Source organism: Homo sapiens, chromosome 3 (assembly GCF_000001405.40).
Source record: "Homo sapiens chromosome 3, GRCh38.p14 Primary Assembly".
In the NCBI taxonomy this organism is placed as follows: domain Eukaryota; kingdom Metazoa; phylum Chordata; class Mammalia; order Primates; family Hominidae; genus Homo; species Homo sapiens.
Genome location: NC_000003.12, coordinates 21,877,824 through 21,895,552, shown reverse-complemented (window position 1 = coordinate 21,895,552; position 17,729 = coordinate 21,877,824). Strand labels below are relative to the sequence as shown.

General features: G+C 35.1%; 1 protein-coding gene across 10 annotated transcripts in view, besides 1 other annotated feature; it reads left to right on the top strand.

Annotated features, from left to right (window-relative positions):
- Window positions 1–17,729, top strand: part of ZNF385D (zinc finger protein 385D) — a 960,546-nt gene that overhangs the window by 477,211 nt on the left and 465,606 nt on the right. The window lies entirely within an intron of this gene.
- Window positions 7,446–7,615: an enhancer, noted in NCBI's record as "experimental_68089 CRE fragment used in MPRA reporter constructs". NCBI's record gives its function as "activates a minimal promoter by MPRAs in K562 erythroleukemia cells, with activity observed for the non-introgressed 3:21929515 variant allele {active_cell/tissue: K562}" and the evidence as "EXISTENCE:reporter gene assay evidence [ECO:0000049][PMID:34662402]".

Genomic DNA, 17,729 nt, shown 5'->3' with positions numbered 1-17,729 from the left:
CCTGGCCAACATGGTGAAACCCCATCTCAACTTAAAATACAAAAAAAAAAAAAAAAAATTAGCCAGGCATGGTGCTATGAGCCTGTAGTCCCCAGCTTCTCAGGAGGCTGAGGCAGGAGAATCACTTGAACCCAGAGGCAGACGTTGCAGTGAGCCAAGACTGCGCCATTACACTGCAGTCAGGGTGACAGAGTGAGACTCTGTCTTAAAAAAAAAAAAAAAAAAAAAAAAAAGCCACACATTTCAGTGATTCAACCATAGCAAAAAGGCATCTTCCAGCTACTTGTAGGAATCTCATGTCCGCCATGTTCTGACTCCTATCTTTTTGAATATACTTAGCTCTTACCAGTTACCCTGGTGAACTCTAATCAGTCAAATAGAAATACCTCATTTTCCATATATACCAACCTATTTTTAATCTGGGTTTTGGAACATGCATGTCTTTGCTTGGAATGTCTTCTTTTCCACACCACAGATTCTTATTTTACCATCTGTTGCGTAGCTCTCCCTGGCCTATCTGCTATTTACTCTGTGGTATTCCTACTTCACTTTATGCATGCCATCATTATTGTGCTCACCTCTCTGTGTTTTGCTGGGTGGTGATTTTTGCTGTTTATAAACATCTGTGTCCTCTCTTTGCCATGAGCTCCTGGTAGAGGTCACTTTATATCTTGACTCTTCAGAGGTTGGCATGGTGTCTGGCATTGTGTCAAGCTCTACGTTTCTTCTGAAAGGGTTGTAACACTGCAGTTATATGCTCACCTAAAACTTATTGCTGCTTGTAAGATTTAAACTCAGCAATATTGAAACCATTGCTGATCATTACTTAAATATATCAGTCATTTAAAATAGACATTTCAGATCTGTGGTTGCTAACTTAGCCACTGGAGGGAGCCCATATACCATGAATTTAGAGGATAATTACAACTCACAAACTATATTAAGTATAAATAATTACAAAGAAGGTCTTTAAACAAAATAAGGTGAGCTTTGCTGTTGTAAAGTCATAGCTATAACTAGTCTTTCAGCTGAAAATAAATAAAAGTGTGTTTTCATCACAAAGATAAATCATATTGCAAAAGAAAGGAAAGAGCAAATCAGAAAGAATTAGAAAGTTTAAAACTCAGGGATGTTTTTGGCTTCAAACATTTGCTCAAAAATTTTTCTTTGCATTTATGCCAATATAATATTTTAATCTTAATTTTTTAACAAATCGTGCTCTCCAAGAGGTAATATTACATGAATTGACTAAGTATAACATACTAGTTCTTAAGATAGTATTTGTGACAGTGGATTATTAACCTAATGGTCTCAATTTGTTTAACTTTAATTATTATAGAGGTAATACTGTTGTTTTTCTTGTTATGTTGTTCAAAGGAAAATAAATCAGAAATTATCTAGCTTAGTGCAATTTAAAAATACGTTTTGATATATATGACTATGCAAGTTTAAAAATTTAAGAGGTTTTAAGGAATGGAAAACATGTATCTAACTGCCTCGAGACACAGAAACAAGTATTCTATCATTGGATATTTTTGAACTTCCTAAGTCCAGGTGAAAGTTTTGAACATGTTAAAAGTTGTTTTTGTAAGTTATCTAAGGCAATGATTATGTTTAAATTGAGCTATACAACCTGTACAATGAAAATAATTTTCCGTTTGCAAGATAAAATTTAAAAACTAAATACAATTTCAAGTGATATTATTAAAAGTCTGCAGAGATGGTTGCCTTATTAGGGAACTAGAATTTACAACCATGGCTTTGATAAAATGTGGAATATCTCTTTTTTAATTCTCTGAGTTCTAAAATAGCTAGACTTGACGAGAGGGAAATTCTCCTTGTTGCCAATTCTCAATTTCCATGCAACTTTCAACCTTCAGAATACTGTTGGTACTCTGTCTTGGCATGGCTAGAATTTCAAATGAACTTCTAACGATAACTGATTTGAATGAGTTCAGGGGGAAAACATTCAATGAGCTAAATTATTTAAGGACACAATAAAGTGCTTAGAGGTTTATATTTCACATAAAGGCTAGTTAAGTAGCCTTTTAAAATATTATTTATGGAGATCATGACTCATCTTTGCATATCTCATGTGCTAATTCCCAGACCACAGACCAGTGCAGTAAAACAGCTCGATGACATGAGTGCCATTTAAGAATAAGCTGTCTGTGCAAGGCACTTTTTTGTTTGTTATTATTTTTTACCATGTTTTACATTTTGTGTCATACCTCCTTCCCTTCCATAAATGTGCAATTCATATTTGGAATGATGTGTATCTGTGCTAAAAGCAGATGTGGATGAGGTACGATGACAATCCAGTTTGTTCTGCCTTATGTCTACAATGCTTCTAATCTACCAATACTCTTCCACATCAACAATACCTGGAATTCTCACCATTTTAGATGAGAAACTTAAAGCTCTGAGAGGTTACGTGACTTACTTGATATCATGCAGGGAGTGTTACAGCCACCATTCAGGCTAGTCCTATTTACCTCTAAATTCTATTTTCTTCTCTTCTCCTATGTTTTTCAAGCTTTTCTGATTGGAGTTTATTGTAAAAATCACACTTTACATAGGACCAAATACATACACGCAATAGAAATTGTCCAAAAAATGCTTATTTTTACAATATGTCACTTACTCTGACATTCTGCATTCTATTCTATTCTATTTCATTTTGTAAAATATAAAACAAGTGGACTTTACAATCCACAATGCATGGTTTAAAAAATCACTAATCTGCATCTTATTTCTTGGCGTTATCTTGCACGTGAGTAAATAGTTTTTGGAAATTAACTTCAGAGGGCTATAGACCAATTGAGGTAAAAGAAGTAGAAAAACTGGTGGAGAGAGTGAATGTCTCTTAAATGTAATTAAATTTAATTTAAATTTAAAGTCTGTTAAAGACCTATGTTTAGCTCCTTTGCAAATAAATAGGACTTGTTTTGGTAGGAAACCAGTAAGTCTTAATCCTGATATTTCTTCAAGTGTATTTTGAGAAAAGTCATGCTTACATTAATGAGTTTTACCAAATCAGTAATGATAATAATAGTTTTAAATCTAATCAGAGCAAAGCACAAACAAGTCTATTTGGAGGAGCAAAATTGAGTTAAGGGTAAGAGCACACTTTGAAAATGATTTCTCTGGATTGTTGTATTCTTAGAGATATCTGGAGGAATTTATTTGGGCAAACCTGAGGCAGTCATTTGCTATTATTTCTCCTTCTAGGTTTCTGTGCTGAGCCAGCATATTCCTGGCACTGTAGCGCTTTCAAAGCTGTGCACTATAGAGGCTGAGAAATTCAGGCAAACATCCCTTTCACCTAAATTCTATATATTCAAATTTTTCCATCTCAATTATAAAAATAAGATTTCATTTGAGGTGTTTTAATTTCCATTGCTTGTAGTGATATTTTCATTCAGAATGCTTCCTATCCCACGAAGCAAGTATTGGGAGTTAATTTTTGAAGAAAAGTTTCAGTTGCCCTCGAAACAAACCAATATCATATAAACTACAGTTAAATTAAAATGGATATTTTGCATGAACACATGGAGACCAGTATCTTTGCTGCTGTTGATAATATTTCCTTGATTTAGTATTTGTGATCAGCTTGGTTCTCACTTTGAAAAAGCTATTAAGCAGACAGAGTGAAACTTTTCTAAATCACATCAATGACAGAAAATCCTATGGATTATTGAATTGGGGGAATTAGTATAAATTTAAAAGTAAGTGAAACTTACTGTGTCTTCAGAACTTTAAAAATATACCATTTAGGGATAATGACAATAGACTACCACCTCATTAATTAGTATCTCAGATTGTTAGAAAACGTCAAGGCCTCTCAGCCTAATTTCAAACTAATGTAACCACTTGTGTTAGAATATTAACTGGACATTTTCCACTGCTGTGACATCAAAGCATTCATTCCATCAATGAATATTTATTATTTCCTGTGTGCTGGATTCTAGTTTAATTGCCAGATACACACAAGTAAAACAGAAATAAACCCATGTCTTATATCATTTACCTCTGAGGAAAAAAGATAGTAAACAAATAACCATATAATGAGGTGTGTGACAATGATAAGGCCATTCAGAAAACCAACAGGATAAGGGGTTGAAAAATGAATGGTGTGGTCAGGATGGCTGGGCAGACATTTGAACTAGTCACGCATTACTTGAAAGCTGTGCTTTAAGGTATCAAAATGTATTTTTTTATATTTTTTTTACCTGTGATCTCAGTGTACTTCCTGGATAGCTCCTTGTTCATTCTATCCATTAGATAGATAATACTGACGATGAGAGTCTTAACAATGAAAACAGAACAATAATAACAATAACGAAATATCTGTTTATTGATTACCTTCTGCGTGTCAAGCAATAATTAGATAAACACTTTCCCTCTATCCTTTTATTTTCATAAAAATCTTATAGAGTATTACTTTAACCATTTTGCAAATGATGAAATTATAACTTCCTAGAAAACCTATAAATTTGCTGTACAACTATTGTCAAAGGTAAAATCCAAACCTGTATTAGTCCAGTTCCAAGTGGGTTTGCTTTTCTGCCATGCTGCTTTAAAAATTCACTTTCTCTTCTCCCACCTTGAAATTCTTAAATACTGTTGGAGACCAAAAACAAAATTATAAAAACAAAAATCGTACAACCAATGTGGTTTGAAACCACTGAAAGTTCATGGTGTCTGTTTTCCTTTGGCTTCTCCATAATGCAAGTCAATCCTTATTTATCTTTTTGACTCTTTATTACCCCTTCCCATCAGCAATTCTTCTGCTGCTTCTCTTGAATACTTGAGCTGCCCATTTTGCCATTTCTCTACTTCCTTAAGAAAATAGCATCTTTTCTCATACCTGTCTGTGTCACCGTAACTTACCTTTTTTCTCTTCTCTTCTCTTCTCTTTTATTTTCTTTTCTGAGACGGAGTCTCACTCTGTCACCCAGGCTGGAGTGCAGTGGCGCGATCTTGGCTCACTGCAACCTCCGCCTCCCAGGTTCCAGCAATTCTCCTGCCTCAGCCTCCTGAGTAGCTGGGATTACAGGGGCCTGCCACCATGCACAGCTAATTTTTGTATTTTTAGTAGAGATGGGGTTTCACCATGTTGGCCAGGCTGGTCTCAAACTCCTGACCTCAGGTGATCTGCCCGCCTCGGCCTCCCAAAGTGCTGGGATTACAGGCATGAGCCACCGCTCCTGGCCCCATAACTTTTATTATACTGCCTGAGTCTACCATCATTCTTTCTTTCCCACTTCTTTTAGTCTTAAGGAAAACTTTTTTTCTCAGTTTGAGACTAATCTGTTACCTTCAAATTCTCTCCCTCTATACATCAATTATTCCCTCTCTTGCTTATATAACCTGCACATAATATTAGGGTTTGTAGGATGTTATGGGTTGAATTGCATCTCCCCAAAAAGATATATATATGTTTGAAGCCAAATCCACAGTACAGCTGAATTTGATGTTATTTGCAGATAGGGTATTTAAAGTGGTAATCAAGTTAAAATGAAATCACTAGGGTGGGCTCATCTAATATGACTAGTGTCTTTATAAAAAGGGGAAAATTCACACACAGGCACACGCACACACAGGCACACACAGAGATGCTATGTGAAGATTGGACTTACTGACACAAGCCAAAGTACTATTAGAAGCTAAGGAAAAGGCCTGGAACAGACTCTTCTGTGGCACCTTCAGAGGGGGCTTGATCCTGCTGACACTTGATCACAAACTTCTGGTCTCCAGAACTGTGAGATAATATATTTCTGTTTCTAAGCCATTCAGTTTATGGTACTTTGTCATGGCAGCCCTTGTAAACTCATACACAAGGTAGCATCAGAGAAACATACTTCATCCTTCTCCCCTAAACCCAAGTACTCTTCTCTATGCTTCCCCTGGAGCCTCTTCCTTTCTCCCTGAGGAATTTCTCTCCCCAGTTTTTTTTCTGAAGAAAGTTAAGGGGCAATAAAGTCCTATTTGATTCTAATTAATATAAAATGGCAGTCTCAAATGGCCAGATGGACATTACAAGCCATCTCTTGCTTCTGTAAAGAGCACTGTGGGTTCCTGGAACCCCTCCCCACTGGGTGCTATCACTGGGGATCATCTCCTACTTTTCTTTCCACAGAGGCCAGTACATTTCCACCATCTGGTTGGTTACAGTGCTAATTCAGGCTAGGTCGTCTGGCGCCTCACCTCCCCCATCTTGCATCTGAGGTCTCCTTGCCCTTCTAGCTGGCCCCTTAGGGAGGATCTATGGCAATACTAGGCCTGCTGTGTTTCTCATGTGTGTTCCATCTGATCCATGAGAAACAAAGACCTTTAATATGATCAGTGGGACTAAAGCTGCTTCAGGTATTCTCTAGTACTACAAGCAGCCTCAGCTAGTTGCTTCTCTGTTGTCTATTTCAGTGTCAGTTGTTTGCCCTCTGCATCCCCTAAACTGTTCTTATTAAGGTCTCTGACAAATGTCCTTACTGTACATCTCATAAATGTCAAGGGCACTCCCCACACACAGTCTACTCTCTGAAGAAGTCATCTATAGTTTCCTGAGTATCTCTAGACCTGCAGCCTCTTTTATTGGTGTAAGGAGAGGAGTAAAGTAATTTTTCTGATACCATCTTCTAAGTCCTGCTTTTTGAGCAAGTCACTGGCTGTAGCAGGTGGTCAGACAGGAGCCACAGACTTGGCCCTCTGCCGTCACCTTGGCAACCTCAACTTAGATGAACAGGCACCTCATTTTGGGAAAACTCGCCACCTATCTTTCTTGTTATCAATTTGAGATTTTGGATAAATGAGAAAAATGGGTCCAGTTTTAACATCCTGTTACTCATTTATATTCCTCCTCTACCCTCTACTTGCCCTTCTCCCTTTTTTCTGTTTCCTTTTTAGCCAAGCTTCCTGAAAAAGTAACTAGACCTGCTGTTTCCATTTTATTTCAATTCTTAATCTTCTGTTTCCGCAGCAACACTGAAAACTATTCCAGAAGTTACTAATAAACTCTCGGTTGTTCCTTCTGGTGTTTGATTCTCTGTTCTACTCTCTGGTACTTATGAAACTCTAGGAACCACGAGAAATCCCTGACCCCTTTTTACTATTCTCTTTCTCTTTTCCATCTGCTTCCCAATGGTTCTTCTTCCTCCAACTTCAATTCAGTGCTAGTGGTCTTCAAGTCTCTTCCTTGGCCCCTATTTTGTTTTATTTTATTACTTTTTTACTTTCTCTCTTTGCAATATACCACAATATAAAAGATTTTTTCTAATCATTTGCAAATCTGAAAGTCCATACTAGCTTACTTTTATAAGTTCCACATAGTTATTTAACCACCTAATGAACATTTTTGAAGCAATACAATTTTGAACTGTTATACTTGATACAAAATTTTGCAACCAAGCAATTGAGGAATAATTAACTAGAATTTAAAAAAATTATGAGATGTTTTTTCCAAAAAAGGGGGGGAGCAATTATTGAGTTTGAATAAAAGGGGGAAAAGAAAGTAAACAGATTCTTAATCATTTAATCACTTTATTTTAACAGTAATTTTATTCATTGTGATGTATTTTTAGTAAGTAGTTAGGTTATTTTACAAAGTATTAATATTATTTCAATGGACATGTGTAACCCATTTAAAAACCTTCTGTTACAATTCAGAAACAACAGTATTTTAACTCATTCTATCAATTAATTAACCATGCATTTTTTTCTTTTCAATTCCTGACATATTCTTAGTGATATAGGAAAAGATGGTATCTCAAGAGTATTTTTTCTGTGTATTATTTAAGACTCCCTAGAGCCTAGGGTAAGTCTTAGACACTTTGTTGTCTGATTTTAAATTTATAATTTTTCTGTTAGATGTGGCCTAAGGAATATTATGTAGCATCTTTGTTACTCTTATTACCTATTTTGTTTTTGTTCTATCACACGATTTTTCTCCTAAACAATTTCCATGAGAGCAAATTCCATATATGTTGTTACCATTTGCCTCCCTAATACTCAGAAGTTGACATATAATAATTTTTAAAATGTTTAAAAACTAAAACAAAGTGTTATTTTTGTTTCTATAGAATTTACCATCTGCTAGACTTAGAAAACATTCAGATTTTAGTTGTTGCTGTTTTTTGCTCTTTTAAATTCTCCATCTACAAATGCTCTCCCTTCATTTCATAAATTTATTTTTACAAACTATTTTATTAATGTGCATAGTTAAGTTTCCTTGTATAATTTCTAAAATGTCAGAATTAATTATTGGTAGTAGATAATTAAGGGGCATACTTAGAAACAAACTATTTAAGACTAAATCCACAAGCCCAAATATCTTTGATGACATTTCCCTTCATGAAATAGTCACTTCACAAACTACGGAAATCCATTAAAGTCCTGTCCTCATACAAATTTCTCAAAGGTAAAATTTGTAGGTGATTCTCCTTCAAGAAGGGACCTTTTATCTCCTAGTGGGAAGCATAATGGGGCAACTTGACACATCCATAAGAAAGGATCAATAAATGCTGCTCCCAAGGGGACATCCTTGGAGGGGCAAAAAAGGAAAGGAACATGTTAAATCCTTTGAAAACGTGTGGCGTTGAATGGAGTGGCAGACGTTCTAGTCATTTGGCCGACCCATATGAATGAAAGTATGTAATGGGAGGGGACCCACGGGGGCACTGCTGATCCAATCACACCACAGGGAAAAATTAAGTTAATGTCATTAGGTAGGGAGAACTATTTAAAAATATACAACTCTTTATTAGATTTTCTTATGAGAGGTCAATGCTAATCATGTATTTGAACTCAAATCCCATCAGCTTATAATTCTCTTTGGCAAATGTTGACTAGATGCTATCACATAAATATATATCAGCTGTCTATACCTCCATTTCTTTCTACAGATGCACTCCAGTTCAGTACAGACAATGTAGCATTTTAAGATTCCATGAGACTAGGCCTGAACAAGACTCATAAAAATTGTGGTTTTTCTGAGCCGTCCATCCAATATCTGCTTGAGTTTTATTTCTTCAGAAAGGATAAGGAACAGAGTTAGTCACAATGAGCAGCATCATTGAAGGGTGGTGCTCAGAGAGGACGGGAGGTGAAAGGATGTCAAATGCAGAAAGGGCTCAGTTCAAATGTTGCACAGTTCTGAACCAAGAAAAGGGGTAGAAAGTTTTTTTTTTCTTCCTCATTAATCACAGCCAGATTCGGTTACTAAATCTACAATCACTGTGCAGCGAATTAAGTACAAGACACATCTATACTATGACTTAGAGGAAGGAAAACCTTCTTCCATCATCCAGGCTTAACTTTATGGTGGGAAGATAAACAGTCTGGATGAAATAGGCAGACCACTAGAAGACAGGTAGAATTGAGATAAGGCCAGGATCAGTGTGTGCTGCCAATTTTTACTGATACTGTAAGAAAAATTATCCATGTATCTATGTGATGGTTAATTTTATGTGCCAACTTGACTGGGCCATCATGCCCAGATATTTGGTCAAACATTATTCTGGATGTTTCTGAGAAGGTGTTTTTTCTTGGATAAGATTAACACTTAAATCAGTGGACTTTGAGTAAAGCAGATCATTCTTCACATATGGGTGGACCTTATCCAATTAACTGAAGACCTTAATAGACAAAGACTGACCTCCACTGAGCTAGGAGGAATTATTTTGGACTATAACTGTAACTCCTGCAGATTTCAGACTCACAGAGCCTTCACAGTTGTGTGAGCCAATTTCTTTAAATAAATCGGTCTCTCTTTCTTTCTACACACACACACACACACACACACACACACACACACAGACACAGACACACCCTGTTCTATTTCCATGGAAAACCCTAATATAATATATATATATGTTTATTATAATTTTCACTGATATAAAATTTGTGTAACAACTTAAAGTAACAATAAAATATATAAAACTTTTCATTGCAAATGTCTTATAACCAATTGATTCTCACATAATTCTTTCTTGGTTTATGTATGCATAGCTGATCTCTGATTGCAATTTAAGCATGATTTGACAAATGGAGTTATATCTCCATTTGCTCTTTTCCCAGTAAAAATATTGTCATAAAATCTACGTAAACTTGTGAAATTCACTATTTTTTTCATCAAATTTTGTTGCTAACAATTGTGTCACAATATTAGGGTATAAGTAAGTATTTGATTATTATTCGACTCAGCAAAGAATTTATTGTGAATAAGTATAGTTCAATACAAATGTTAGTTGATATTTTAGTTTATGTTAGCAAGTAAAGGAAGAATGAAAGAAAAAAATGAATTTTGGAACTTCATTTAACTTCACTGAATTGGATAATAATTTTAGAATATTGAAAGAAATTTTCATTTGTTTTTTCTGCTATTCTCAATGTAACAGCTGCATATATGATATGCTTTTATGTAAATTATTAACATTTTTTCCACCACTTTCTTTAATCTAGAGAAGAAGTTGGTAAGTTTTTCTTTAAACAGCCAGATAGTAACTAATTTAGGATTCATGGACCATATAGTCTGCAAGTTATATCTACTGCATTCTGCCATTGTTGCTCAAAAGTAGCCACAGATAAAATGAAAATAAGTGAGCATGGCTGTATTCTCCCTGAAAAACTTTATTTACAAAAAAAAGTGCAGATAAATTTTGGATTGAGGGTCATACTTTCATGATCCTCGTGTATAAATCAACAAGCAAATAAATCAACCTTTATTTAAAATGTTTGCCAATTTCCACCGTGTAAATATTGCCATATGGTCAATTTCAATCTCCCTGTATAATGTCACTGGATCTGGAGCTGGAAAAAGCTATGCGTTAGCACACAATTATATAGTATTTCCACTGTACAGATGAAATACACACAAATAAACTTTAGAGAACAGATGATAGTAAAATGTAGTAAAATAAGAACCGTTGAGTTCTGGCCATTTATTGCCTGTGTTTTTAGTATAATTGCAAGGATATGTAATTAATTTTTTAATGTTGGCTGTGTTGAAAACTTGGCTTATACAATTTCTGAACATTTAAAAATTAGCTCTTTTGAGCCCTTACAAGCTGGCTCTAACATACCACTAGCCAAGGTCAAGAACCAACTTAATAGCAGAGTTGAGGCCACACAACTATTCTAGGGGATAAATATTGGATAGAAAGTTAGATGTCAGATAGACATTAGGAGAAGCACTCAGATAACAATTCCAGCGAAGGGATGGTGATTTACTTAGGCAAGGCTACTTTCAGAGTTGTCTACTGTTTGCAAGGCACACTCTGTGCTAAGTGCCTGATAATTTCAGTTTAACAACATTCTGGGTTGAAAAGGAATTTCTCAATTGACTGGAGAATATAATTATCATTTATAATATCATTTCTATGGAAAAATAGATTTCAGGTTCCAAACTTAGTGATCCTAATTATTTCTTGCAAAATGGTAACAAGCAATCAGATATGTCTTATCCTATGTCTCCCTTTTCTTTGCAAACCATCCGCATTTATATTGTGTGTGTTATGCTACATGTCAGCTCTAAAAGCCTTAGCAACCCTCTCATAACATACACTAAGGATATCACAAAATGGTGCACAAACCGATTCCCTTTGAAAGACAAGAAATTCGACTTAGTAGATATGGTTTCCTGCTGAAGAGAGTGAAACGGATGAGATGTCGTAGCATGTCTCAGTCTCAGACCGATTGTTCTGATATGTAGTTCAGTCTACATTAGCTGCTGAAAGAACTTCCATGATAATAATGTGCATTGCCTAAATAATCCCATTTTCCACATACATAAATTCTAGCCTTATATGTGCAGCAATCTGATGGAATGTAACAAAAATGAAATGACTTTCCTTTCTGTAGTGAATATGCCTTATTTGCTGTGCAGGCAGCATCGTGCATCAACAAAACGCATTTCTCATCATTTCCAGCAAATTTCTTTAAACCTATGTCATTCCAAGCTTCAGGAATCTTGGGAAACGCTGTCAAATTGTATGTGTTTATTCACTTCATGAAATAGCATGACCAAGGATGAATGGTAGATTCACATGATAACAAATGTTTATATCAGAATATATATCATAAACCCTCATGATCAGGCAAAATCTTATTTTATAGATGTGAAAAATGAAGGCCCAGAATATGTAACTGATTTAGTCAATTTGGTGAGACATTTGTCTGGTTAGAAAAATCATTTAGTTTTATTTTTATTTTTTGAGGGGAAAGAAATTTGTTGGTTTATGTTGAGATAAATTATTTTAAAAAATATTAATATAAATCTTTAAGTTTATAAGTCAATTTGAATTTTTCCTAGGCACAAATTCTTACAGATCAAATAATCACATAATAAAAAAATTGAGCTCTTGATGAGAAGACAAGCTACCAAGACATTGTCATAACTTTGAACAAAATAGATAATAGTCTTATCTGCATACAAACTAACCCATAAGATGATATGTGTTGTTTTCTTAGTACACTTCTTAAAGTGGTAGGAGACAAAGCATAAATCTGTCACCTCCAAATAAGCATCAATATTTTCTCAGAATGATATTTTAATGAGGGTTTGTTCAATAGTGAGGAGTCAAATTATATACTATTCTCCAGAGTAAATATTCTAAATGCAATTACTATTAGCATAATCATCTTAATTGCTTTTTACCTTCATCTAAAGAATGTAAGTACAATTTCTGAGGAAAAGTGGAGAAACTGGGAAAGTGCTCAAGTAGCTATGCTCTTCATAAAAAAACTCTACATAATTAGCTAATCAAAACTGTGTTGCAACTGCTCATGTACATGGTCTAATGAAAATTGAAAGCTAAATTATTACTAGCTGTTTCTCAGACTATCATGTTTGAGAATCGGGAGCATTGCTTCTCAAACTATAATGTCTGAGAATCAGGGGATCTTGTTAAAATGCAAATTTTGATTTACAAGTTCTGGGATGTTTCCCAAGCTTCTGTACAGGCACGACTCAGAGTTAGTGCAAGTTCAAGTTCCAAACAACCACAATAAAACAAATATCACAATAAAGAGAGTCACACACATTTTTTGTTTTCTAGTGCATATAAAAGTTATGTTTATACTGTACTATAGTCTATTAAGTTTGCAATAGCATCATGTATAAAACAACAATGTTTTATATCTCAATTTAAACATATTTTATTACTAAAAAATGCTTACAATCATCTGAAGCACCACGTAGTCATAATCTTTTCGTTGGTGGAAGGTCTTGCCTTGATGTTGATGCCTGCTGGCTGAACAGGATGGTGGTTGCTGAAGTTTGAGATGGCTGTGGCAACTTTTGAAAATAAAGACAAAGATGTTTACTGCATTTTCTTTTCACAAAAGATTTCTCTGTAGCATGCAATGCTGTTTGATAGCATTTTACTCACAGTAGAATTTCTTTCAAAATTGCAGTCAGTCCTCTGAAACTCTGCCACTGATTTATTAACTAAGTTAATGTAATATTCTAAATCCTTTGGTGACATTTCAAACAATGTTCAAAGCATCTTCACTAGGAGTTGATTCCATCTCAAGAAACCACTTTCTTTGCTCACCCAGAACAATTCCAGATCCATTCAAGTTTTATTTTGAGATTGCAACAACTCAGTAACATCTTTAGGCTCCACTTCTAATTCTAGTTCTCTTACTATTTCCATCACATATGCAGTTACTTCCTCTGCTGAAATCTTGAAGTGCTCAGTCATCCATGAGGGTTGGAATCAACTTTTTCCAAATTCTTGTTCATGTTGATATTTTTACCTGCTCCCATGATTTGTGAATATGCTTAATGGCATCTAGAATGATGAGTCCTTTCCAGAAGGTTTTCAGTTTACATTGCCCAGATCCATCAGAGGAGTCACTAGAATGGCAACTATAGCCTTGTGAAATGTTTTTCTTAAATATAATACTATAAAGTCAAAATTACTCCTTGATTCATGGGTTGCAGAATGCATCTTATGTTAGCAGGCATTAAAACAACATTAATCTCCTTGTACATCTCCATTAAAGCTCTTGGGTGGCCAGTATGTTGTCAATGGACAGTAATATTTTAAAAGGAATCTTTTTCTATGAGTAGTAGTTTTCAACAGTGGACTTAAAATAATCAGTAAATCAATATGTAAACAGATGTGCTGTCATCCAGGCTTTGTTGTTTCATTTATAGAGCACAGGTGGAGTAGATTTAGCATCATTCTTAAGGGCATAGGATGTTTGGAATGGTCAATGAGCACTGGCTTCAACTTAAAGTCGCCAATGGGATTAGCCTCTCCCAACAGAGTCAGCCTGTCCTTTGAAAATTTGATGCCAGGCACTAACTTCCTTAGAGCTATGAAAGTCCTAAATGACATCCTCTTTCAATGTAAGGCTGTTTGTCTACACTGAGAATCTGTTGTGTACTGTAGCTTCCTTCATCAATGACCTTAGCTAAGTCTTCTGGATCACTTGCTGAAGCTTCTACATCACTACTTGCAGCTTCACCTTGTATTTTTATGTTATGAACATGGCTTCTTTCCTTAAACTTCATTAACCAACCCCTGTTAGCTTCAGACTTTTCTTCCACAGCTTCCTCACCTCTCTCAGCCTTCACAGAATTGAACAGAGTTAGGGCTTTGCTCTGGATTAGGCTTTGGCTTTAAGGAAATGGTGTGGCTTGTTTAATCTTCTATCCAGACCACCAAAACTTTCTTCGTATCAGCAATAAGGCTGTTTGGCTTTCTTATAATTCATGTGTTTGCTGAAGTAGCATTTTCCATTTTTTTCAAGAAGTTTTCCTTTGCGTTCACAACATTGCTAACTGTTTGGCAGGAGAGACCTACTTTCAGTCTGTATCAGCTTTTGACATGCCTTCTTCATTAAGCTTAATCATTTCTAGCTTTTGACTTAACGTGAGAAATGTGCAAATCTTCTTTTCATTTGAACACTTAGAGGCCATTGTAGGGTTAGTAATTAAATTAATTTCAACATTATTTTGTCTCAGGGGATAGGGAGGCCGAAGGACAGGGAGAGAGACATGGGTCGACCGGTGGATAGAAAGGTCAGACACAACATTTATCAATGAAGTTTGCCATCTCTTATAGGCACAGTTTATGGTGCCCCAAAACCATTACAATAGTAACATTAAGGATCATTGATCACAGATCAACATGACAGATACAGTGAAAGAATTTGAATATTGCAAGAATTACCAAAATGTGACAGAAACACGAAGTGAGCACATGCTGTTGGAAAAATGGTGCCAATAGAAGCTTGACACAGCATTGCCACAAACCTTCAAACACAGTATCTGTGAAACACAGTAAAGCAAAGTGCAATAAAATGAGGTATAACTGTTTCTAACGCAGTGCTCATAAGTGAGGCTGATCCTACTGATCTAGATCACTTTTTTTGTAACAAAATCATTCTTTTATAGTCATTTTATGCTTCTGGAACCTTTAAAAAAGGCCAAGGTAGGAAACCATAATGTCATTTGAAATACTTCATTTGGCTTAATTTGCATGCTATTTGCATACCCATAGTATTTTTACATATTTAAAAAATAATTGCATTTATTAGCTTTAATGATGCCAGGGAGAGACAAATTGTGGCCAGACTCTAATTTGGTGGACTGATTTAACATTTTGAGATTACATGAAAGAAGAGTTTGTTCCCCCACTTGCACATTCTTTTCCTTGAAAGATGAAACCATTAAAAAAGTATGACTGTCCACGCTTTTCTCCTATTCATTGTAATATTAAAGGGATGACCTTATAAAACCAACTGTAGTGTTATATAGTCATGCATCCTCCAAAGCTGAAGTTTTTATGTAACTCTCCAAATGAGGACTCTCTGGTGCCCTTTTCAATGAAGCGCCTAGCGGCTCAGAGACAGCTGCTTATTTTATGTTTAGTGATTCCTGACCTCTGTGACTATTTTTTAATTGAAGTGCTGTGGCATATTACAACAGCGGTGAGAAAAGCGTTGTATTTAGGATGTGTGAGGACTTCATACCTATAGTAATAAATTCATCTTAATAGCTTCCTGCCTTTGAAGAAGGAAGTTTACAGCAGATCAGCTAATACACAAAAGCCTACACCACTTCAAGAGTACAGTCTTGCTATTCGTATTAGGTGTTTTGATGACATAACTGTTCTTAATGCTAAACAACTATATTAAGAACAAAGACAAGAAGCATCTGCAAAAGTAGCTGAGAGCCAGCACTCTAATCCCAGAGATGGCAATAAACGGATCCCATGTGTCCTCTCTAGAGAAGACAGTCTGTCACTTAGACAACACTAGTTTGGCAGAAATCATTTATGAAAACAAACACTTTGGAGTCAAGAGGACTAAACTCATTGTACTTAAAGAACATGACAAACACAGGATTTTTTTTCCATTCATGATTTTTAAAAATTCAACAAGAGGTAAATTTTCATATCATTTGTTTCCTTGTTAATGTCATTCAAGACAAGCAAAGTGTTTCTATCTTGATGTGTTTTACAAACTTGAGAAGTATTCAAATGATGAAAAATAACAAAGGCACATATTTTTTCTGGTAGTGTATCACAAGAGAACTACTGTTGGCAGCAAGTTCTGTCCTACCCTCCTGCTCTCCAAATGTACATGGCTCTTTTTATAAAATAGCTTTAGGGTTTGTATGAACCTAAATAAAAATTGTTTTATAAGGTCTTTCCCACATAAATGCAAAAAAGAACTTCAAATGTGCTTGATAAATAACTGCTGTGATATATAGTTGAAAATAACTTGCTAATCTTAGTAACAAAATGCTATATGACAGGCATGTCGTGTTACAGCTAAAATATTTAAATCTTCTCAATAGAAAATAGAAGCACATCCATGACTCAGAAATTCCACTTCATGGAACCTACCTAGAGAAAGAATCACTTGTTTCAATGAGAGCATTTAAATATGTTTCATTACAGTGCTGTTTATAACAATGGAAACATGGAAGCATGAAAATTGCTTACATGTGCAGTCATGTAGTGGAATACTATGCAGCTGTTAAAATAAAAGTTGAAAAATAAGGACTTCATGCAGATATTAGTGAGTGAAAACACAAAATAGATTTTCAACGTATGATACACTTTTCTGTAAACATACACAAAACAATACTAATTTTTCTTTTTACGCATATTAATGCCTTCATACTGCTGTAGCACTCATGAAACTGATAGTAGGGAGTTCCTTATGAAACAGGCTTGCTCACATGGCACTTGAGTTGTATTTAAATGAGTTCATGAGACAATATCTCATAGTAATTAAGAATTTGAATCCACAGTCAGACTGCTTGCTTTCAAATCCAAACTCTCGTTTTTATGAGCTACATCACCTGGATAAGTTACTTAAGATCTCTCTATACCTTAGTTTCCTCATGTGTAAGACGTAGTAATAATATCTCCTCAGGAAGTTGCCTAGAGGATTGCATCAGTTACTATATTTTACTGAACCTAAGATGTCATCAGTTCGAAGATGCAATGTTATGATACACCATCAATTTCAAAGATGTCAAAATGGGAAAAGATCAGCATCTTAAAATGGAAGAATATATTTAAGGTACTTACAAATAGCACTTAATATAAGTTGTTTATCATTTTATCATGAAATCTTCATTGCTGTTGTAATTAAAATTAATAGTATATCAACACATAAAATAGAGATAACAGATGTATTGAAGAAGTTCATCTGTAACTTCCCAAATAAATTTATTGTGGAAAACCATAAAATAGATTCTGATTACT